This window comes from Homo sapiens, chromosome 12 (genome assembly GCF_000001405.40).
Source record: "Homo sapiens chromosome 12, GRCh38.p14 Primary Assembly".
Classification (NCBI taxonomy): Eukaryota; Metazoa; Chordata; class Mammalia; order Primates; family Hominidae; genus Homo; species Homo sapiens.
In genome coordinates, this window is record NC_000012.12 from 52,542,150 (window position 1) to 52,565,321 (window position 23,172).

Sequence of the window (23,172 nt, forward strand, 5' to 3'; positions counted from 1 at the left end):
TAAAGAACTACTACTCTTGGCAGCCATAACCAAATTACCATGTAGATTCACATGGTGGACACCTTGCCTGCTAGTCATTGTCATTATTTCCTTTCCTCAGAGCCCTCACTTGCTCCCAAAATTGTCCATCAAGCCCTGCCTTCTCATGCTGGAACCTGTCAAGCTGATAGCTCAGGCCCCTGCCATGGGCCCCAGTGCTGGGTTTCTGAGTCTCCTGCAGGAGGCTCCAGTCTCCAGCACTTGGTTTTGTGGCTCTAGAAAACAGACTCAGAACCCAGGATAACCCTGCCCACTCAGGAGAACTCTGTGAGCCCTGGGGCATAAAGGGAGTTCTTCCCTCCCTCCTCAAATCTGTGAGATAAACCAGCATCATCTAGAGAAGCCTCCACCTTCACATTTGAGAATCTAGCCATTTCTTTTAGCCTCTCAACTGGAAAGTTCTTTCTGCTATCCAACCTCGGTCCCTACTGTTGCAAAGGCAGGAGGCTAGCAAAGGCAGCAGGTGTGCATGGTGCCTTCACTGAGGAAATGGCAATGTCTGTGCCCAGTACTGAACACACACACACACACACACACATGCATGCACACACACACATGCCTCATCTTATCAATCAAGGACGCAAACATGTTGTTGAGTCTTATTCCACTTACCCACCTGCTAGATGACGGTGCTGACAGGTTGATGACAGCCAGGAGTCTCCGGCTCTGACCATCTCCTGGGCAGGGGCTTTTGAGCCTTGCCCTAAGCCCCAGTCACTACTCTAAATGTCCTAGATGTCAACTCAGACCATCCGTCCCTTCCTCCGGACCCTCTGTCTTCCTCTTCCATTATACTTGGTCTTCTTGCCCCAAACCTTCATCCTCTGATCCCCCTCCAGCCCAGCCCCAATACCAGGCCTCCCTGCTCCTTTATGAAACTGAAACCCTCTTCCTTCCCCCAGATGACGTCATTAGTGTGGCTACTGTGAGACTAGGTCGCTGCCCACTCACTGCAAAGACGTTGGCTTCCCACCCACCTGCAAATGCCCTGAGCCTCCTACACCTCCCCTCCCCACCCAAGACACAGAGCTGGCCTAGGGAATCTGTCTGTTCACTCTCCTTACACCCCTTACCAAGGCAGGACTGGCCATCACCATAGTGGTTCTGGAAGGTGGGATAGGAGTATGTCTGGGGCAGTGCCAACCCCCCAGTCACTGAAATTCATAGCCCACCCCCACCCCATGGTGGGACCCCAGCTCACTCCTCCCTACACCAGCCCCAACTTCCAAGACTTGTTACTTATCTTTCCATCTGAGAAGCCAAGAGTGTGGGACTCCCACCTGCTGACCCCCGCAGGAGGCCAGGCCTCTGAGCGGTGAGAAAAGGGCTGGACAAATGCAAATACCTGTGCACTAAGCCCACCTTCCAACGAGGAAAGGTGCAGTCTCAGAAAGAGGCAAGGTCAGGTCAGGAACACGACCATTTCTCTGTCACTGGACACAGTTTGTGCATGTCCATCTGCTGAAGCCTCCAGCCAGTACATGCACACGCTTTCTGGGCTTCTCCTTTCCTCCCTCCCTGCCCCTCCTCCCAGACCCTGCTCCACACCCCATTTGCCTCCTGAAAATTAACACAGACATATAGGCTGCATGGGCAATACACAGTGATGTACTTGTGTGTGTGTGTTTGTGCTTCATGCATTCATGAATGTACATGGTGCGCGCTCATGTGAGTGAATTGAGGTGCATGTGCATACTTTGAATACTCAGAGACCAAGCCATGAGATTGTGCTGTTTATTGAGGTTGCAACAGAGGAAGGCCATTAAGAATAAAGGAAAAGTGAACAGTGCCTGCTTTTCTCTGCTTCTGGGTGCAGGTGAGTGGAGAAAAAGGCCCTGAATTGCACTTGGTCCCACTCAGATTTGAGACTGAGCTAGATGTGGGGGTGGGGACTGGGCCACTCTTGGTTGTTTGTCCTTCAGTCCTCCTTTTCTTAAACACAGAGCCAGCTCCTGGCATAGGCAGGAACTATGCTAGGTCCCAGTGTGTGCGGGGCCTTGGGCAGAGACCCAGGGAGCCCAGCAGAGTAGTTAGCGACTGCGCTAGAGGCCGGGCAGAGGAGGAAAGCTGGCAGCCAGGACCTGGGCTGGTGGTGTAGCTGGGGGACCACAGCCAAGGAGTTAATAGGGTGTGTACAGGGAGGAATTTCACCAAGCTTGGTCATCCAGGCCTTCCCAGGATCAGGAAGACACAGGCTGGGAGAAGTGGGTGGCCAAGGCCAGTGCCAGGTGTATGGGAGCAGGACCAGCAGGGTGGAGATGGAGCTGAGAGTGGGCTGTGGGAAGTACAGTGTGGGATCCAGAGCCGGGTCATGGAATGAGGCGGGGCCCGGGGCAGTCTTCTCTACCGACTGGTTTTCTTGGAGGGTGCACTCAGGCTGGAACCCTTCCCTAGGGTGTCTTTGTAATCGTTGGCACTGCCCCGGCTCCTGCCCTCCCCGCCTCTCACGCTGCACACTCCAGAGATGCAGTTGCTGCTGTTGGCCACATAGCCACCGCTGACCATGCTGGGCCGGAAGCCATAGACACTGCCGCCACTGGTGCTGCTGATGATGGCTGCAGGAGGAGCCGAAGCCAACACCCACTCAGGCAGAGAGCTGGGGAGGCCTCCTTTTCCCCAGGGCAGACAGGGCTTTTCTTGGAGAAGCTGAGTGGGGAGGTGCACACCCGCTCCCTCTCCCTGGGGAGAATGTACCAAAGACAGCTTCCCTAATGCTCTGTCCTTGGCTTGTTCGGCTTATATCCAATCTGGCTGAGTCTTGCCCCATTAATGCTCAGAGGCCCTACTCCTTGGTCCAGGTACCAATACCCCTACCTGTCCTCCTGGACACCCACCCATTGCCCTTTCTATTAGCCTTTTTGCTAAACTTCCCAGCCTCTAACCTCTTCCTCCTGCTAGCTGTCCCACAGCAGGCATCTTTCCCAAGCTCTGGTTTAACTCTTTTAGCCCTGCTAAGCAATGCAGTGATCTGATACTGCCAGCTTGACCTCTAAGATCCCTCATTCTCTCATTCCCTCAGCCCTCCCTACTTCCCAAGCCCAAGTCTGGTTGCAGTTTGCAAACCTGACTCCCTAAGCCTCACACAGACCCATGCATCATTTTTCTACAACATAACCCTTGCTTTCCCATGACAATAGCTTTCCATTGCTGCCATCCCCTAGGAACAGAAAGTCAGAGGGATAAGAATAAAGGAGGCCTGGCCTGGGAGTCAGGAAAGCCGATTTTGGCCATGGCTCTGCCATCTGGCTTTGTGATCTCAGGCAAAGCTTTTCCCTCTCTGGTTCTTAGATCCCTCATCTGCACACAGAGGGTGTCACTAAGGTCCTTTCCAGGCTGCAGATTTTACAATTTTAGGTGAAAGTATACAAATACTTACAGATGCTGACAGGGGAGGGAAATTCTCCTGACATCCTATTAAGGAGAGAAATAAAATAAGAGGAGAAGAGAAGTCATCCAGCTCAGTCTCTTTAAAGCTACTGCCACCATCAGCCTTATGTGGGTTTTTGGACCCAACAGGCACCTGTGGAAATTCCAAAGCTTCTCTGATGCAAGCAGAGCCTGAGAAGTTTTGGAGACTACCCCCAAATCTTTGGGGTAACCAGACAACAACCCTAGTCAAACAATAGTTTACAAAAGGTGCACACGTAGGGGCAGTGTATCTACCTCCCACGTGTCAGGTCCACACACCAGCCTGCCATCCCTGTAGAGCCCTGGGGAAGCTGGGGTGGCTGCCCCGGCACACCCCCAACAAGCTGCACATGGACAGATCAGGAAGAGGGAACAAGAATGCCTAATAGAGTAATGGGGTTTTGCAGGGAGCAGGGCGGTGGTTGTTTCTAGTATGCCCAGGAAGAACGAGCAAATCTGCATAGCTTACTACATAGCATAGTGCCTGCCATGAAGCAAGCTCTCACAGTCTACTGAGTGGATACTCATGTCCACTCATGGTAGTATTGTTAATTACTGTGATTATTTCTATCCTCATCACCCCATCACTTCCTAAGAACTCATCTCTTCTGGATTGAGATGTGTTAGGCTTTCTCCTTTGGGTCTTCCCAAACCCCTGGGGCCCTCCTGTCTGGGCACGCCCCGCCCACCTGCACTCCTCGCTCTCCAGTAGCTTGCGATAGGTGGCGATCTCCATGTCCAGGGCCAGCTTCAGGCTCATGAGCTCCTGGTACTCGCGCAGCATCCGCGCCAGCTCCTCCTTGGCCTGGTGCAGGGCGCCCTCCAGCTCGTCCAGCTTGGCCCGGGCATCCTTCAGGGCGTTGTCTCCCCGCTGCTCAGCATCAGCGATGGCTGTCTCCAGGTTGGAAGCCTAAGGAAGGAATTGGTGAAGTCGAAAAATTTGGAGGAGCCACTGCAACCATCCACATCCAATCCCTCTGGGTCCTTAGAGTGGGGCAGAGTGGCCCGCCTCCACCCTACACACACCATCACACTTCCTTGCAGCAGAGCCCCTTCTGGGGCTGGCACCTCCCTCCTTAGCTCTAGCCCCATTCCCTGTGTTGGATGTGTGGGTGATGGAAATCATGCAGCCATGCCCTCCTGAGCGCCACTTTAGTTCAGCATAGAGACATTTATTCAGCCATATTGTGCCAAGGGCACGAAATGAATGACAGCAATACTCTTGAGTTGTTTAGGTCTGGGAGGAGAGATGGTCGAATATGCTGTGGCAGACGCAAAGGCAGCAGCTGCCCAGGAACAGGGCACCACAGTCGAGGGGGACAGGGAAGGACACACCCCGGGAGCAACCGTTATTTGCCAAGCACTTAGTGTATGCCAGCACCAGGCTCAATACTGTACATACCATTGACATAACTTAACGCATTTAGTCCTTGCAACACCCTGTGAAGTGAGCAGAAGTAACCTGTCCAAGATCACAAAGCAACTAAGTGTTAAAGCCCACAAAAGAATAGAAGGAGCACTGGACTAGGAGTCAGGAGACCTTGGTTCAGATCACAGCTCTGCCACTTACCAGCTGTGTAACCCCCTTATCCTCTCTGAGCCTCAGTTTCCTCATCTGTAACAACAGCGAGGGCAACTGTTGCCTCTCAGGGTCTTGGTGAGGATGAAGTGCGATAGAAGAATAGGTGCCGCTGCCATTGCTATCGTATATGTACATCTTGTGTCTCACCTACAAGCCGAGGCTGCATCCTATATTCCTGGGAGTAGTCCCTAGTCAATCCTTAACAATGCACCTTAATGGGTGCTCCCTGAGCCCATTTCTCCATCTCAGTCATTAACTCCACAGATGTTTATCAAGCTGCAACTATGTGCCAGGCACTGTGCTAGATGCTGGGGAAACAGGGTACAAAGCAGCCAGCTCCCTGCCCCCTTTCAGTCTAGTGGCAGTGTCAGTAATAACAGGAAGTGTGACAAATACAGGGAAGCACAGGTGCCAGGAGGGTACATCGCTGGGGGAAGGTCTTAGCCCAGTGCCGAGGAGGCTTTCTAAGGAGGGGCTTCGAGGCTGAGGTCCTTGGAGTGAGTCAGAGATGAGTAGCCCCCAGGGACGTCCTGCTCCAGGTGTTTGAGGCAGCGACCTCACTGGCCTTCTCTCTTCTCCCAGGCAGCGATCTGGGAGGCCCATGTTCTCAGCAGCTCATCTCCCCTCTACTCATGCTCCCCTGCACTTGACCACAGGCCAAGGCCAACGTGCTCTCACCTGCTTCTTCACGTTCTCGATCTCTGAGCGGATTCTCTGGATGAGCCGAGTGAGCTCCGAGATTTCATTCTTGGTGTTTTTGAGGTCGTCCCCATGCCTGCCAGCTGCCAGCTGAAGCTCTTGGAACTGGGGACCCCAAAGCACAGAGTCATGAGTGTGTCGTGGGAGTGCATGTATCTTGGGATCAGAACACAACAGACACTTACTGGGACACTGCTTCTATTCTGGGCACGATCTGTCTCCATCTGCTGCCCGCTGGCATCACCCTCCCTGGCCCCACCTCAGCCCAGCTCACCTTGGTCTGGTACAGGGCCTCAGCCTCGGCCTTACTCTTCAAGGCAATCTCCTCATACTGGGTGCGGACTTCGTCAATGATGCTGTCCAGGTCTAGGTTCCGGTTGTTGTCCATGGACAGGATGACAGACATGTCACTGATGTGGGACTGGATCTGAGTGATCTCCTGCAGGGGACACAGAAATGGTCTCTCGGCTCAACTGCTGTCGGAAGCCAACCACCACCCCCAAACAAGATGAGCAAATTCTGGTGATGCCATCTTGGAGGCTGGAACCCAAGGCTGCTGCCATCCAGGGCTGTGTGCTTTGCGGCAAAGCAAGTTCCCTGCTGGGCCCAGAGAGATTCCCACTGCCGTGGAGCAAGGGCCTGGCCGATTCCCTTCCCACTCAGAGTGTGCAGACCTAGGAGCCTCGCAAGTCTGATGCGGGAGATGGTTGGCTAACTGAGGGGTCTCACTGAGGGCTGGGGCCTCCATGTCTCCTGCAGCCCCTAGAATAGAGTTTAACCCACCAGCCTCCCCTAGATGAACCAAGTGGGCAGACAGACTTACGGCTTCAAAGAGACACCTGAAGAACTTGATCTCCTGGTCCATGGATTCCACCTTGGCCTGCAGTTCCACCTTATTGGCGTAAGCAGCATCCACATCCTGAAAGATGCCCCCACCATCCCCTGTCACTGCTGGTACAGCCAAAAAGGCAGCAGCCATCCCTGCCTGGGTTCCCTGAGTGAAGAAGGAGTCACTCTCTTCTCTTCACTTTGCCTTGGGAAAGGAGACAAAGGAGCAAAGGCCCAGCCCTACCCCACCCCACCCTGGGAATCTGTTCCCTCGGCAGGAATGAAGCGCCTGTGGTGTCTGAGCTGGGTCCCGGGGCTGCAGGGGAGCCCCTCAGTGTTGTCCTCTGTATTCTTCTCCGTGTTCAAACCACAGCTGCATTGGACATGCAGTCAGGTGTCCTCTCACTGGCACCCTCCCTGCCTTTTCATTCTTTTTTCTGGATAGTCTTTCATCAAGTTTTCTCTGCCTTCACCTTGCTCTTCCTGAATCAGTTCACCTTGAGGGGGGCTAACAGAGCACCTTGGCAGGCTCTGTTCCTCCAGGTCCCAGGCCAGCCCCCGGGACTCAGGGCCTGCCTTCCCCTCACCTTCTTGAGCAGCACAAACTCGTTCTCTGCTGCTGTCCGCTTGTTGATTTCCTCCTCATACCTGTGGGAATGGCGAGGGCTCATTGGTTAATATCTCACTGAAAGCCCTTGCTTTCACAGGGCAGCGTTGAGCAAGGAGCAGCGTGTCCATCAGAAGATACAGGTGCTGGGGGCCGCAGAGTACTGGGCAGGGGTAAGTGGGGGAAGGCTTCCTGGAGGAGGGAACATGCTAACCAGTTTGGAAGAATGAGACTGTTAAAGATCCAGCTTGGCAAACGAGGAAGGAGCACATGGAGCGAATGCCCTGTGGGACTCTCAGAGGAACCAGGATGTGAACTGCCCTCCCCAAATTTGAGTACAGCTTTACAAATGACAAAGCGCTCCAATCTGCATTTCCTCAGTTACCCTTGAGAGCAGTCTTGGAGCCAGATGCACTTAACCCTCCTCTTACATGGGAGGAGAACGTGAGTGGTTTCCCCAAACATTCCCTAAACCCAGAGCCAGAGATAACCCTCTGCCCACTGCCCAGCTCACTGGGCATTTGTCCTAAGAGTCAGGCCAGAGGCTGGAGGAGCAGAGAGCAAGTTCCAGAGTTTTGTTGGGGTGATTCTGCTTGATATGACCAAGAACAATGCCCTCCACTGACCTCCAAAGCATTTAAGCTGGGGTGACTGCCAGGGGTCCCTTGGAGGGACAAGGGCAGTTGTCCAGTTACAGGGGGACTCCTCCTGCTCACCTCTTCTTGTAGTCCTCCACTACGTCCCGCACATTCCTCAGCTCCGAGTCCAGCCTCACCCTGTCCCCAGACAGCGTCTCCAGCTGCTTCCGCAGGTTGCTGATGTAGCCCTCGAGGATGGGCTCCAGGTTGTTCTTGCAGTTGTTCAGGTCCAGCTGCTGCAGCAGCTCCCACTTGGTCTCCAGTACCTGGTTCTGCTGCTCCAGGAACCGCACCTGGAACCCAGATCCCAGAAACTGCTGAACCCTTGCAGTAATAGTCACACGTGTCTCTCACAGGGCATTGTGTAAAGCTTCTATCTGCATTTTCTCCTCAATAGAGCTGAAAGAGGTGGGCAAATCATTACCCTCTGCTATGGAGAGAAAACTGAGACACAGAGCAACTTCGGCTGTTTCCAAGGCCCAACAGTTTAAGAAGCGGTGGAGCCCGGAACTGAATCTAGACACATGTCCCTGTAACCCGTGCATGCAATCACCCAGCACCCTCCATGGTTGCACCAACTCAGGGCTTGGCTGTGATTGAAAATACCAGCAGAGAAGCCAGGATGGGTCCACCATTTTGGACAGGTTGACCATCCTGAAGAAAAGTCTGCTCTTCATTTCAGGGCATGTCAGAGCTCAGTAAGGCTTGGGCCAAGGGCTTCTAGGTATTTTAAATGCCTGGAGCAGGCACCAGCTTCATCTTTGCTTATAGCCCCTCCTCTCCCTCCTTGGTCCTGCTCCCCAGAACCATCTTCTCTGCAACAAGCATGGCACATGGAACATGATGGACAGATGGAGCTCCTGATCCCATTGTAGCCCCTCACTGAGGCAGGAAACTGGCCAGAAGGAGATGTCCATACACACCTCTTGTTTGGTTTTTGGGGATGGGGAGCACAGTTTTTAAAATGTGACTTCCCTTAATCTACATGAGCACAGCTACTGCTTGAATAAGGTTGTCTTCCCCAACATCAGAAACACAAGACATGGGAAAACTATCTAAGATTCAGTGTCAAGATAGAATTATTCCCCGAAAATTTGTCTCTAGCCCGTCTTCCAGCATTTGGTCTGGTTTAACCAATCCTGAATTTTTCATGTGATCTACGAGGCTGAGCATTAACCACAGAGTAAATCCTGCATCTGAGACACCACAATACACACCTGCACTACTGAACACATCTGGATGCCGAAAGGATTTACCCGTCTTCTCTGGCTGCCTGAGGTTAAGGGACTGATCTCTGGAGACTGAAATTATTTGGGAACTGTCCAAGCCTTTCAGCCTCCTTCCCCTCCCTCTGGGCAGACCATCTTTATAAACAGGATGTGACCCTCCTCATGTTCATCTTTCTTCCCATGTCTCCAGACTTTATCCTTCTGTAGGTTTTGACCAGCCGAGCCAAGAATCAATCAGTCCACTCCCATCACCCAGACCCCATCTCAGAACACTTTGATCTTGCAGATATGAAAAGGCTTAGAAGAATAAGAAGCCGCAGAGCCAGTCCTAGCCCCTGAGGCTGAGCCGAGGGCAGCAGGGACTCCTCCAGGCAGGAAGTCTGAGCTGCAGGAGCTGGCTAAGCTCTGATGGCCACATGACCGTCTCACCCATAGACTTTGTCCTGGGTTGACCCGTCCTTGGTGCCTGACTGCCACAGAGCCAACAGAACCCTCCAGTCTCCTCCTCTGGGTCTGGAGGCAAAAGGCTGAGGGTCCAGCCTCACCCTTCCCTTTCCCCAAATGACCCTGGGAATGCCATTTACCTCCATGCCTTCAGTGACTCATACGATAGGGATAATCATTTCTTCTCTGCCAGAAGTCAGGGGCCTATCTGGACTGTGTCATCTCTTCAGGTCTCTAGACACCTTTGATTCCTCCCCTGAGCTTCCCTCCCCCACATTCCAGAGATAAGAAATGAGAGTCACAATCACAATCATTTTTGGAGTATTTAGTGTGCGTCAGGCTTGTGACAAGATCTTCACCTGCATTTTCTTTTATAAGCCTGACAACAACCCCAAGACAGAAGTTATTATCTCCATTTTAGAGATGAGGAGATGGCAACACAGACAGGCAGATCACCTTCCCAGAGCCACTCAGCTGTGGCCAGCAGTGAGCACAAGAGCACCGTGGAGTCCCCTTCCCCAGTGCCCTCTTCTGCCTCTCAAGAAAGTCTTCAACTGACTGGAGCAAATGCCCAATCAGAGGGCCTGAAGCGGCCCCTTCCTGCTGCTCCTGATCCGCTGGGCAAGTGACCAGTGGGCAGGGCAGCATGCCAGGGGAGGAGGACAGCTTCCCTGCTTACTCTGGGCGAGACTGGCTCTCACAGGCCTTTTCTGCACACGGCCTGCAGGCCTAGCAATGGCACCAAGCTAGCCCTCAAGAGGAAGGACCACATCTCTTGCTGGGAGCCCTGAGAAGCCTCTGCCAGTAGAAATTGACCTGCCTCTGTTTTCTCTCTGGAAAGACAACACAGAGAACCTTACACAGGTCACCCTGTTGATGGGATGTACCTACCTTGTCCACAGTAAAGTCTTCCTCACATCTAACCTCAATCTCTCCTGCTGTAACAAAATCGTATGTTCCAAGAAGAGAAGAGGAGGGCTGTTCACAAGTTCCCCAGGCCCTAGAAGACCCACCTTGTCGATGAAGGAGGCGAACTTGTTGTTCAGAGCCTTGATCTGCTCTCGCTCCTGGGCACGCACTTTCTGGATCTCGGGGTCCAGCTCCACGTTGAGGGGGGCCAGGAGGCTCTCATTGACGGTAACCTGGTGGATGCCTCCAGGTGGGCATACAGTTGGGCACACAGGCCCCAGGGCCACACTGCCAAACATGCTTCCAGCAAAGCCACTGGCCCGGCCCCGGCCAAATCCATAGCCTCCACTCTTCCCGCTGCCACTGGCCACATTGAGGCTCCGGACACCCCCCAGGCTGTAGAGGCTCCGGCTGCCAAAGCCCCCACTGAGCCCTTTGCTCCCTGCCCGGAAGGAGGATGAGCTGCCCCCTGAGAGCACAGCTGAGCAGCCACTGAAGCCCCCCTTGGCGGCAGCTCCCGACTTGCAGGTGAATTGGCGGCTCATGTTGCTGGTGGAGACAAAGCTCAGATGCAGGAGGGAGGAAGGCAAAATCCCAAAAGGTTCTGCTGGTTGTAGTGAGGACTGGCAGGTGCCTTTATATGTGCTTGGCACTGGGGCTTGTGGATGGGCAGTCAAGAGCTTAATTCGTGGGTTTGGCTTGCCTGGGAGCAAGAAGTCATTTTCTCTATGCTGAGCTAGAGATCAAGCCCTCTCCACCTCTGAAACAACATGAAACCTTCAAATTGCTGGGCTTGCAAGCTTTGCTCATGTAATTTGGGTCTTATCTAATTAACCTGCTGTTATAGGGTAATTTGCCCCAGGCCCTGGCCTCTCCAGGGGGATGTCACTGGCACTGCACCATCCCTATCCTGATTAATCTTCTCTGGGTTGTTGGCTTCCTCCTGGGGATGCAGCAGGTGAAGACAGGATGGACTTTCCTGGATAGTTCAGGACACTGGGTAGAGTACTGGGGCCTCCAACTTCTGTTCTCCTCCTTCCTGGAAAGGGACTGATCAGGCATTACCTCTCCCCAGGCCTCCTGGAAACATAACCCATAGAGGGCAGCTGCTCTCACTCATGGGGTATTAGGAGGTGGAGTGACCCTCTCGCTAGCATGGGACAGAAGCAGCCCAGGCCAGAGCCAACCACGGGCACTATCCTCACTTCTCCCCCCTCAAACACCCATAATAAAGCAGGCTGGAGGCTTCAAACACTGGAGAAAATGAGGACGAGAAAAGGAGGATGGAGTTGGGGCAGGTGGCTGAGAAATTCAGGGACTTGACTGGAAGGAGGTACAGAGAAGACAAAGACAGAGGCTGGCCCATGGCCTGGAGGGTTATGGAGATTCCTGGGTGGTCCACTTCCTCATTTCTGTCTCTCCTCCAATGTGTATCTGCTAATAAGACTAGGAACAACTTGAGGACAGTAATCATCTGTTTAGAGTTCAAATAAAGAAGCTGTTATCAACATGAAACTTAACTCCTATTGCCTCTGTCCAGGCCCAAGTGAGCCAAGAACAAGGCTGGCTGAGCCCTCCCCAGGAGTGCAAGCCTCCAGGCAGGCTCAGACCAGAAAGACCCAATGGGGGCGACCCAGTAAGCACGATGTCATTCTACTCCAAACAGTCCTTTGATGCCAGCCCCAGAGACTCTGGCTGCAGCCCCTGCTTCCTAGCCACTGGCTCCTGTGTTGGGCCCCAGCTACTCCCATGATCGCCATTGCCACTGTGGCCCTATTCAACCCAAGGCAGCTCTGTCCCTGAAGATCACCCTTGCCCAGAGATCCCTGCTGGAGCCCCATGGGTGAACAGCAGCTCTTTGCTGGGTGGGGCACAGGAGGGAAGAAAATCTGGAGACAGGCTGGTTTGGGGCTCTCTCTCATATTGTTTAGGGGAAGAGCCTGGACTCCAGTCCCTCCCAATCCTCTGCATTCCTTCCTCTACTCTTGCCCCTGCCATTTTGTCTTCTTTGCTCTTACTGAAACTACCCGAATTTTCCTATCCCTGCCTTCTCTCTTTCTCACCTTCTCTCTCCATCCCTCCTCATCCCTCCCATCCATCTTCCCTCCATCCTTCCCTCTCAGCCTTTCGCCATCTCTTGTTCTGTCACTTCCCCATCCTGCTCTCCTCCAGGAGGTCTTCCTGCACCCACACAGGCCAGGTCTGAGCTCTCCTTACCTCCCTCCGCTCTGAACACATCCTTAGCATGTGCTGGTGGGGCTGCAACTCTGTGACAGCTCCCATGGGGATCCTCTGAAGCCATGTCACATGTCATCTTAGTTTTTCTTTGTAAGGCTAGCAGAGTCTTCTCCAGATTAGAGACCACCTAGTGCACTCTGAGATGGAGCAGGGACGCCCTCGTAGGGGCCTTCAGGTCCCCTCAAGCATGGAAATAAAGGACAATCTTGAGTTCCTTCAAGGGAAATTCTGGGCACCTTGCTAGCCTGGAGAAATAAATAAGCAACCTGACAAGCAAGAAGATAACAGTAGCCCAAAACAACAGCCACGAAAGCTGGAATCGTGGGATGTTTGGTTCCGCCATAGAAACTAAAGATAGCACCTTAACATATGTCCCAGAGTTGTTTGTCAGAAACCCAAACCCCACCAAAAGGGATGCCTGGGCACATAGACCTCAGATGAAGGGACACTGGGCACTGAGCTCTGACCACCACTCTTTGTTCTAAATTTCTTCCTGAGGGGCCTGAAGAATGTCACACCTACAAGCCAGAGCTAACACTCTTTTCTGCTGACCCCAAATTTTTAAACAAAGTTTCTCTTCCTTAACCAATTGCAAATCATAAAATCTTTGAATCTGTTTATGACCTGTGAGCTCCCACTTAAAAACATCCTGACCAAACACCGCATGTTCTCACTCATAAGTGGGAGTTGAACATTGAGAACACATGGACACAGAGAGGGAAACAACACACACCAGGGCCTGTTGGGGGGTGAGGGGTGAGGGGAGGGAACTTAGAGGATGGGTCAATAGGTGCAGCAAACCACCATGGCACATGTGTACCTATGAAACAAACCTGCACGTTCTGTACAGGTATCCTACTTTTTTTAAGAAGAAATAAAGAAAAAAAAGAAAGACATCCTGCCCTTTTAGGCCAAAGCCAATGTGTAGCCTTCATGTATTGAATTTCGCCTGTAACTTCTGCTCTGCTGAAATTTACCCCGCCTTTAAAGCCTCTAATCTTCACACCATCAGGGAGGTTGGGACTTCAGCATTAGCTGCCTGGTCCCTCTTGCTTGGTGCCCTGCAAATAAACGCCTTCCTTTCCACTGCTGCAAACCTCGGTGTAGATATCTGGTCTTCCTGGGCCGGGCAAGTGGACTCCAGTTTGGTTCTAGAACCCTTGCCTCCCTCCCACCCTTCCTTTCTTCCTTTGGTGGACTTCTACTGAGTGCCTGCTGTATGCTGGCACCATGCTCAGTGCTGGGGACACAGGAGTTGGTGGTGTACACTGAAGATTTGAAGGTTTTCTAGAGCTCTTGCTTGTGGTCCTCCATCTCTGGCTCTGAAAGCTGCATTTCTTGACATGCATGGCAGAGCCCTAGCCCAGCCTTTAGTGTCCCTGCCGCTGCTGCAGCCACCCCAACCCATCCCACAACCTCCTTCCTCGATGCCCCAGCCAAGGACATCTCACCCACTGGCCCCATCTTCGACTACCTCCAAAATTTTGCCAAGCTATTCTTATTCAGCCTGGAACCCCTTATCTCCCGATCTCCTCTGACCCCAATCCCACTGCTCTTCTGAACTCCTGCTTAAAACCCTGGATTTTGCAGTCTCCCCTCCCCAGCGTCCCGACTCCTCCGTCCCTTGACACCCATGTGCAGGTTGCTGTTTCCTAGGGCCTGGGTCCTGGGTCCTGGGTCCTGGGGAGGGTCCCATGTCCCAGTCAATTCCTCCTTCTGTGCCTTCCCTGAGAGCCCAGGACCAGCCTCTGAACATCCCCTCCCAGGTATGGGAGAATCAGTGAATAGCCCCTTGTTGGAGAAGCAACAAAACAGAGCGGAGTCAGGGCATCTTTAGGGGGCTTCTAGGCCTGTTGTCCACCTGGAGTGGCACCAGGTTGGAGCCTAGGCTGCTGCAGGGATCTGAATTCCATGCCACCACTCAGCCGCACAGTTTGCTCGGTCTCTCTAAGCCTCAACTTCCCCAGCTGTAAATGGGAAATAAACTCCTGGTGAGATAGTTGTGATGATAACCTGTTAATCCATAGAAAGTGCCTGCTTTATAAAATACATAATAAATGTTATCAACAACTAAAAGCAGAGAGCTCAGTAGAATTGGGGAATTGGCCTGTCCTCCCCTCTCTCCTTTCTCTCCTCTGGACCAGCACGTTCCCACGCAGTGTCATCTGATGTTGTAGGAAAGGGAGGGAGTGGGGTTCCCTCAGGCCCCAGGCTCAAAGAATCTGCCAACTCAGACCCTCCTTGATATTGGAAAATTTGCCATTAAAAATAAAAATTGTAGGCCGGGTGTGGTGGCTCATGCCTGTAATCTCAGCACTTTGGGAGGCCAAGGCAGGAGGATCACTTGAGATCAGGAGTTCAAGACCAGCCTGGCCAACATGGTGAAACCCCATCTCTACTAAAAATACAAAAAAAGAAATAGCCGGGTATGGTGGCTCGTGTCTGTAGTCCCAGCTACTCGGGAGACTGAGGCAGGAGAGTGGCGTTAACCCAGGAGGTGGAGCTTGCAGTGAGCCGAGATCGCACCGCTGCACTCCAGCCTGGACGACAGAGTGAGACCCCATCTCAAAAATAAATAAATAAATAAATAAAAATAACAGCCACCATCTAATAAGTGCTAGCCAAGTACAAAACTCAGTAGGAGGCACTTTACGAACATTATCTCAGATTTTTTGGTATTGATCTTTTATCAAATATTTATTGGGTACCTACCAAGTGCTGAGGGGGGCCATAAAAAGTTTCCTGCCCTCAAAGGATTTAGTCTCTGGGTCCCTCCAAATGCAAGCACCCCTGGGAGAAGAAGCTCATCAAGCTATTAACAAGTGGTTAACACCTTAGCATGAATTAGTTAGTCAGACACTGGCCATTAGGCATGAGACACCCAGTGTTGTTGATGAGGCCAGTGATAGAGGAGGAAGGAGAGTTGGGGACCTCCCACAGGAAGGGAGGGCCTAGGTGGGGCTCCTGAGGTGCCTGTGTTTTTCGGGAGGGAAAAAAGGAGAGACTGAAGGAAACCAGGACAGGGCCACAGCTCACTAGGGGGACTAAACCCCCAATCCCCCCAGTCCCGCTTTAACTGAGATCTGGGAAGATTTAGGGGTGGGAGGAGCCAGCACCCCTGCTTGGGGAGCCCTCTGGCCTGGTGGGGAGGCAGGATCTGAGCTGCCCGTCTGGCTCTGTTTTTCTTTCATGCCCTCCATGGGAGGGGTCTAGCTTTCCACATGAGAATTGAATTCTGAGCAATGTTTGGGCAGGCGTGGACATCTCTGGGCCAGTTATACCCATCTGTGAAACAGTCGGGGGAATGCGTCATATCAGAGGATCAAACCCCTAAGATACCAGGAACATCTGGCTTGGACATTCAAGAAAAAAATTAAATGGCATGTTACATTACATTTGTGTGGCTCTTGGTTTTATAGCCACATGTTTTATTTGGCTTACATGTATAATTTGTAAGTGTCTTTGTATTGTTGTTTCTGTGTCTGTGATCATGACCAGTTTGACACATTTGTGTGTGAACCCATGGCTCTAATTTGTATCTTGCTCTTTCCTCTCAGCACTCTTGGGTCGGATAAGTCTGGAGAGAGAAGACCTCCAAGAGCAGGGCAAGACAACCGAGTACAATATAAGAGGGTAGTTGCTGGGTGAGAGGAAAGGGGAATGCATAGATGTGGGGACACTAAACCTACAAGGGCTGCCTGGAGGATGGAGTTTGGATCCCAGTCTCTTAAGGGAAGAAGGCTTGGATGGACAGGCATGGAGGAATGAGGAAAACTGCCCTGGGTGGCAGAAGGCAGGTCATTTGTGAGGAAAAGACCCACCAGGCTGGAGCAATCATGAATAAAGGACGACTTTGCGGGGGGGGGACTCTGGATGCCAGGCTGTGCACATAATGGGGAGCCATTGAGGGCTACTGAGCCAGGGAGGGCATGAGCAATCCATGTTTGAGGCAGCAGAATCCAGGTGCTATGTGGACAGGGTTGGTGGGGGTGGAGAGAGGCTGGAGGCACCGAGAGAGGGGCAGGTGGTTCTCTGAGCAAATAATTGTCTCCAGAATTAGAGAGAATGAGCTGAGCTATTTGGATGACATCAGCCCAGGTCCTGCCAGCCCTCCTCAGCAGATGAACCCAGGAAATGAGCATGTCATCTATGGATCCCCCAGAAGCCCCCCTCCTGGCACCCCCTCATCTTTCAGTGGTTTCAGATAGGCAGGGTTTTCAGCCCCAGCCAGCCGGATGGAGCGCAGTGCCGGGGGCCTGGCCACAACCCACCATTCATTGGGGGGCAGGACAGCTGGTCAGCATTTTTGCAGCTGCCAAGGCTGAGGGTGTGCCCACCCCAGAGGAGCTGGGATATAAAGGATAGGAAGGCTGTCCTTCCAGGCATGGCTCCCCTCCCATTTTGCCATATTTCTGACAGAGAGGGTCATCTGGGGCTGCCCCTCTCCTCATTTCCTCCTCACTCAGCTCCGTGGCTGGGAGCACCTCCTTTGAGCCATGCTGCAGCCCCACGCCAAGCCTCTAGCGAAGTGCATGGACTTGAGACTCTGAGGACCCAGGTCCCAGTCTTGCCTTGGCCACTCATGAGCCGTGTGACTGTGGGCAGGTCTCTTACCTTCCTAAGCCTCTGTTTTCACATCTCTAAAAGAGGGGGTGCCAACACCTGCTCCACCTACTCCCCAAGGTGGTTGGGAGGCACCTTGTAAATAAGAATAATGGTGACAATGATAATAATAGCAGTGGTTAACACATATACAATGTGAGTGCTGTGAGGCATCCTTCTAAGCGCTTCACATATATTAATTCATTTAATTCTCACAACAGCCCTATGAGGTAGGTGCCATTATTGTCCCCACTTTACAGATGAAGATGCTGAGACACAGGAAGTTAGGCAGCTTACTCAAGAGAGTACTCAACCAGGATTTTTTTTTTTGAGATGGAGTCTCACTCTGTCACCCAGGCTGGAGTGCAGTGGCACGATCTCAGTTCACTGCAACCTCTGCCTCCAAGGTTCAAGCAATTCTCCTGCCTCAGCCTCCCGAGTAGCTGGGATTACAGGTGTGGGCCACCACACCGGGCTAATTTTTGTACTTTTAGAAGAGACAGGGTTTCACCACGTTGGCCAGGCTGGTCTCAAACTCCTGACCTCAAGTGATCCACCCACCTTGGCCTCCCAAAGTGCTGGGATTACAAGTGTGAACCACCAAGCTCAGCACTCAACCAGGATTTGAGCCAAGGTTCAAATACAGGCATGCTGGCTATAGTCTGTGCCCTTAGCCTCCACACCACCCTGGCTTTCTTGAGTACAAATGTCTAGTGCCCCTGCGTGTCCTATTCCCAGGTGAGCATGCCCACCTCTAACCCTCACCAGCTCTGGTCTCTGCTCTCTCCTGTCCCTCCAACACTTGAACCACAGTGTGAAAAGCTGAGCTCATCACTTTCTGTCCCTAATATACCCTCCCACCCCATCAGTGCCCACGCCCTCACTCACCCAGGTGCTCCGCACTCTCAAGAAGTCACCTGCCATCTCTTAAGGCAGTTGCTCTGCATCTATCACCACGGCATGGCCCAGGCTGCCCCTCATCCTCTCCCCTCTGGAATTCTGGCAGCAGCCTCTTGGGTGGTCCTCCTGCCAGCCCACCCTATAAGCCTCTGGTTTCCAGGATTGACATTTCATACACTCCTGTCTTCCTGTCACAACCCTCCAGCCAGCCACATCTGACCCCTCAGTCCCCTTTTCAGCCTTCTTTGCTCTTTTGGAGAAAATAGATGTGATTTCAGGACCTGGGTGAGGATGGGGTTGGGGATGCTTGTGAGGCCCTGACATGTTTCTTACGGGCAGCTTCCTTTTTCCTGATGTCATGCTCTGGGCTATTCTCCCAGCCTCCTGCCTACCAGGCAGGACATAGCTACTCCAAGAAGCCTCCCCTAAGCCCTTCCGAATTCCCCTGGTTTCCACCCCTTCCCTGTCAGGGTCAGGCTGCAGCTTTCTCCTGCTGCTCAGGTTCTGGGCGCATCCCTCCACCCCAAAATGACCAAAGGCTCCAGGGCTTAATGCATGAACTGTGAGCACTGCATGTCTTACCAGCTGACAGACATGTTCCAAGGCATATCAGAAGATGTGTGTGCACATCTGTATGTGAATGGCTGGGAGCAGAACAGGTGTCCAGCCATTATGAACATGGCTGTCCTGGTTGTCCATGGCTGACATCTCTGATTGGTTAGTGCCTGCTTGTACCAGCTGTTAAATGTTTTGCATCTTCCATAGACATCAGCTTTGTGAGCCTGCAGCCTCATGTCTATGCATGCGTACATGGGTTTCTGATGACATTGCACCTGATAATTGCTCCCATCTTCTATTAGCTGTTGCTTTCAGACCCCTGAGTCTCCATTATTCTCCATTAGTGGTTTCTAACAGGGAGCTGATTGTCCCTTTTTCATATATTTTCAATATATTCTTTTTCAATAATAGCCATGACGGGAGGGAGCAATGCAGTGACTCCCAGCTGGTGACCAAGTGAGGGAATCAAATTCATTCATTCATTCATTCAACAGCTCTGAGACCATGAAAGCAGGAGAAGTCATGACAGTTTAGACCTGAAAGAACATCCCTTCCCCAGGGCAGGAGGATGGCCAAGGTGACTTTTCAAGGTCACAGAGGATGGATTTCAATGAGACTTTCTCTACCAATGAACACAGATTACTCAGTTAAAGCCTCCTGCTACACTGAGTTTGGAACCTAGAGAGAATGGTTAGAAAAATCAGAAAATGGGAAGGTCAGAGGCAGAGGGAGAGGCATAGGAAGAAGCTGCAGGAAAGGGTGGATGAGGTCCCAGGACACAGTGCACAGACACTGATTGCCTTGTTCTTTTGCATTCAGTGATCCCATTTGACACTTACTAAGCAGCCTCTCTGTGCCAAGCGTTTACCACATACAGGGATAGAGGAAGACACCAGCCTGCCTTTGAGGACTTCTCAGTCCAGCAGATAGGTCTGCCATTGCAGAGCCTTGTAGGTTTCATTAAATCCCAGGTGGAGAGAAGATTCCAGTAGCAATTGGGTTTTGTGCTCACTTCAACTAATGAACCAAGATACAGTGAGTTTGGGAACTTAAGCAAGATTTTGGGTGTCCACTTAAAATCTTAATCCAAGTCACTGTGCAGAGGCCATGACCCTGACAGAGAAAAAGAAATATTGCAGTTTTTTGGCCTCAGATGCTTCAACTCAACAGGCATCAGCAAGAGCTATGAGAGCCACTTGAGGGCACTGAGTTGCTCTTCATAACCAAAGTCTGAGACTCAGGTGGTTAGTTAAGCAAGCACTTAATTAGCCGAGAGAGAGCCAGTGGTTGCCCTCAGCTGGGTGTAGCGGCCAAGTGTCAGAGACATGGTCAGCTCTTGGCTATCAGAAGTCCAGCTCCCCCAGGCTTGCCTTGGCCAGTCAAATGAGGGTAAGTAGTGTCTGTCCCCCTGCTGGTCATGGACAACTCTGTCTTTATGCCAGGTTGCTATTTGCCACACGGTAGGGAAGGCAGAGAGCAAAGTCCAGGGATACAGTTTCTCTGACCTTTTCCCTGCTGCACTCCCAAATTTTATTTTATTTTTTATTGGGGTAAGATTCACATAACATAAAATTAACTATTTAAAGTGAACAATTCAGTGGCATTTAGTATGTTCACAATGTTGTGCAACCATAACCTCAATCTAGTTCTAAAACATTGTCATTACCCCGAAAGAAAGCCCTGTGCCTACTAGCAGTCACCCCCATTTCCCCTTCCCCAACTCCTGCAACCACCAATTTGCTTTCCATCTGTATGAATTTACCTATTCTAGACCTTTCATATAAATGAAATTATATAATGTGTGGCTTTTTTTGTTTGGCTTCTTTCTCTTAGCATAATGTTTTTGAGATTCATCCACATTGTAGCACATATCACTGAGTCATTCCTTTTTATGGCTGAATGATATTCCACTGAAAGTATATACCACAGTTTTTTTTGTTTTTTTTTTTTTTCATTCATTGATGGACATTTGAGCTGTTTCCACCTTTGGCTATGGTGAATAGTGCTGCTGTGAATATGCATGTACATGTGTTTGTTTGAGAAACCTGGTTTTAATTTTTTTTTTTTTTTAATGAGACAGGGTCTTGTTCTGCCACCCAGGCTGAAGTGCAGTGGCACAATCACTGCTCACTGCAGCCTTGAACTCCCGGGCCCAAGTGGTCCTCCCAGCTCAGCCTCCCAAGTAGCTGGCACCACAGGCATGCATCACCATACCTAGCTTTTTTTTTCTTTAAGAGACAGGGTCTCCCTATCTCCCTTGCCCTGGGTTGCCCAAGGACAACCTCCCTTGCCCAGGTTGGTCTCAAACTCCTGGGTTCAAGCCGCCCCCCAGCCTTTGCCTCCAAAAGTGCTGGGATTACAGGGATGAGCCACTGGGCTCAGCCATGTTTTCAATTATTTTGGCTTTCTATCTAGGAGTGGAATTGCTGGGTCATATGGCAAATCTGTTTAACTCCTTGAGGAATTGCCAAACTTTTCCACAGTGGCTGAACCAGTTTACATTTCCAACAGTAATGTATGAATGTTCAAATTTCTCCATAATCTCACCACATTCATTATTTTCTGTTATTTTTATTATAAATCATCCTAGTGAGTATAAACTGGTGCCTAGTTATGATTTTGGTTTACATTTCCCTGATGAATAATTATGTTGAGCATCTTTTCCTGTGCTTCTTGGCCATTGTGTATCTTCTAAAGAAAGTTTATTAAAATTACTTGCTCATTTTTTAACTGAGTTGTTTGTTTTTTTTATTGTTGAGTTGCAAGAGTACTTTATATATTCTGGATACTAGACCCTTATCAGCTCTATGATTTTCCAATATTTTCTTTCATTTGGCAGGTTGTCTTTTCACTTTCTTGATAATGTCCCTTACTGTAAAGAAGTTTTTTAACTTTGAGGAAGTCCAATTTATCTAGTTTCTCTTGTGTTGCTTATGCTTTTGATGTCATATCTAAGAATTCATTGCCAAATCAAGGTCACAAAGATTTCCCTCTACATTTTTTCTAAGAGTTTTATGGTTTTAGCTCTTATATTTAGGTTGTTGATTCATTTTGATTAATTTTTGTATATGATGTAAAATAGAGATTCAACCTCATTCTCTGGCATGTGGATACCTCGCTGTCTCAGCACCATTTGTTGAAGAAGCTATTCTTTCCCTTATTGAATGGTCTTGGTACCCGTGTCAAAATGGCCATAACTGTAAATAATTGAAATTAACAATCACCTCTGGTCCTGCCTTCATGATTTCTCCTCTTGGGCTTCAGGGGACTCTGAGTCCAAAAGCAAGAGCACAGTCACTCCTGTGCACCTCTCAGCATCTTCATAATCCCAGATGGCAGAGAATCTCTCCATTTCTCAGGTGGATAAGCTGCAGCCAGAGAGGCTGCTCCTTCTGCCCACCTCAGCACTCTAGTAGAGGACACACTGTATCACATCTGCTTAGCCCTTCATCCCTGCATCCAGAGCCACGTTTGCGTGCAGCCATCACAGCCCAACAGCACCAGCTCAGGTGTGCCCAGTTGTCAGGGGCATGCTGCACAGCAGCCTTGAAAGAAGTGATTTCACGGAGGCTCATGTATTAATACTTCTCCAAATGCTATTTCAGGTTGTGGGTCTCATTCCCTCTCTCACCTCAGGCCCTCTTACTGGGTCCCTCACTGGGAATGTGGTCTTTTGGGAAAGACAGAGCATCAATGCTAGGAAGGGCCTTAAGGGTATCTGGTGCAAAGGCTCTTAACCGGTGGTTCATGACCCAGGGAATCCATGGATGGGCTGTGGGGATCTGTGAACCTCTGGACATGCAGTAGACCCTGTCCACATTTCAGGGGAAAGATCCATGGCTTTCATCAGCTCTCAAAATGTTCATGACTTACAAGGTTAAGAACCACTGTGTGTAACAGGTGACTGGTTAGTGGTAGAGCTAGAATGGAGCCTCCCACTCCCAGGGCACTAGTTCAGTATCCACAGTGGCAGCAGTGGTGACATCAGAGGGAGACATTTGGGCAGAAAGCCCAACACACTCTTGGGCTCTTGTGTTTCCCACGGTTTACTGCACCCTGGCACACACAGAAGAGGACCTCCTTAATACATGAAAGCCACAGGGAGGTGAATGGAGGCCACTACTTAGGCCAGAGTCCCCATCCTCCCAAGGCCTGTCCCCATTATCTTGAGGCCTGTAGAGGTGAACATCTTTGGGCACACCCATGACACAAGACAAATTTGAAAGCTGCTTAGACAGCTAGACTCTGCCGGCCACAGCTGAGGGACTTAGAAATCCACCCAGCCCCACTGCAGATTAAGCATCTCTAATCCAAAAGTCTGAAATCCAAAGTGCTCCAAAACTTTTGGAGCATTTTATTTAAAATTTGTACAAAATTATCTTTAGCCTACGCAGAAGGTATATATGAAACATAAATGAAGTTCATGTTTTGATTTGGGTTCCATCCCCGAAGTATCTCATTATGCACATGCAAACATTTCAAAATCCAAAG

The 23,172-nt window shown here is 50.9% G+C and overlaps 1 protein-coding gene across 4 annotated transcripts, besides 2 other annotated features; it reads right to left on the reverse strand.

The window, feature by feature from the left end:
- Window positions 1,760-10,996, reverse strand: KRT71 (keratin 71). 4 transcript variants are annotated; one of them, XM_017018749.2, is made up of 10 exons: window positions 10,871-10,996; window positions 10,488-10,815; window positions 7,880-8,094; window positions 7,144-7,204; window positions 6,552-6,647; window positions 6,003-6,167; window positions 5,708-5,833; window positions 4,137-4,357; window positions 3,416-3,450; window positions 1,760-2,594 (listed from the first exon to the last, which is right to left on the reverse strand). In XM_017018749.2, exons 2-10 carry the CDS (start codon window positions 10,680-10,682, stop codon window positions 2,383-2,385), a joined length of 1,326 nt encoding a protein of 441 aa, XP_016874238.1. In that variant the 5' UTR covers window positions 10,683-10,815; window positions 10,871-10,996; the 3' UTR covers window positions 1,760-2,382. The 4 variants fall into 4 exon arrangements, with proteins under 4 accessions (XP_016874238.1, NP_258259.1, XP_047284153.1 ...); NM_033448.3 differs by having other exon boundaries at window positions 10,488-10,996; XM_047428197.1 differs by lacking the exon at window positions 5,708-5,833 and having other exon boundaries at window positions 10,488-10,996.
- Window positions 5,516-6,017: an enhancer, noted in NCBI's record as "H3K4me1 hESC enhancer chr12:52941449-52941950 (GRCh37/hg19 assembly coordinates)". NCBI's record gives its function as "activates a minimal SCP1, AML or CMV promoter by ChIP-STARR-seq in primed H9 embryonic stem cells {active_cell/tissue: H9 hESC(primed)}" and the evidence as "EXISTENCE:reporter gene assay evidence [ECO:0000049][PMID:30033119]".
- Window positions 6,018-6,517: an enhancer, noted in NCBI's record as "H3K4me1 hESC enhancer chr12:52941951-52942450 (GRCh37/hg19 assembly coordinates)". NCBI's record gives its function as "activates a minimal SCP1, AML or CMV promoter by ChIP-STARR-seq in primed H9 embryonic stem cells {active_cell/tissue: H9 hESC(primed)}" and the evidence as "EXISTENCE:reporter gene assay evidence [ECO:0000049][PMID:30033119]".

Coding starts and splice junctions, on each gene's coding strand:
- KRT71 (NM_033448.3), bottom strand. CDS start 10,928: ATGAGCCGCCAATTCACCTGCAAGTCGGGAGCTGCCGCCAAGGGGGGC. Junction 7,205..7,879: donor GTGGAGGACTACAAGAAGAG/GTGAGCAGGAGG, acceptor CCATTCCCACAG/GTATGAGGAGGAAATCAACA. Junction 2,595..3,415: donor TCCCTCCCCTGTCAGCATCT/GTAAGTATTTGT, acceptor CTCCTCCTGCAG/CCATCATCAGCAGCACCAGT.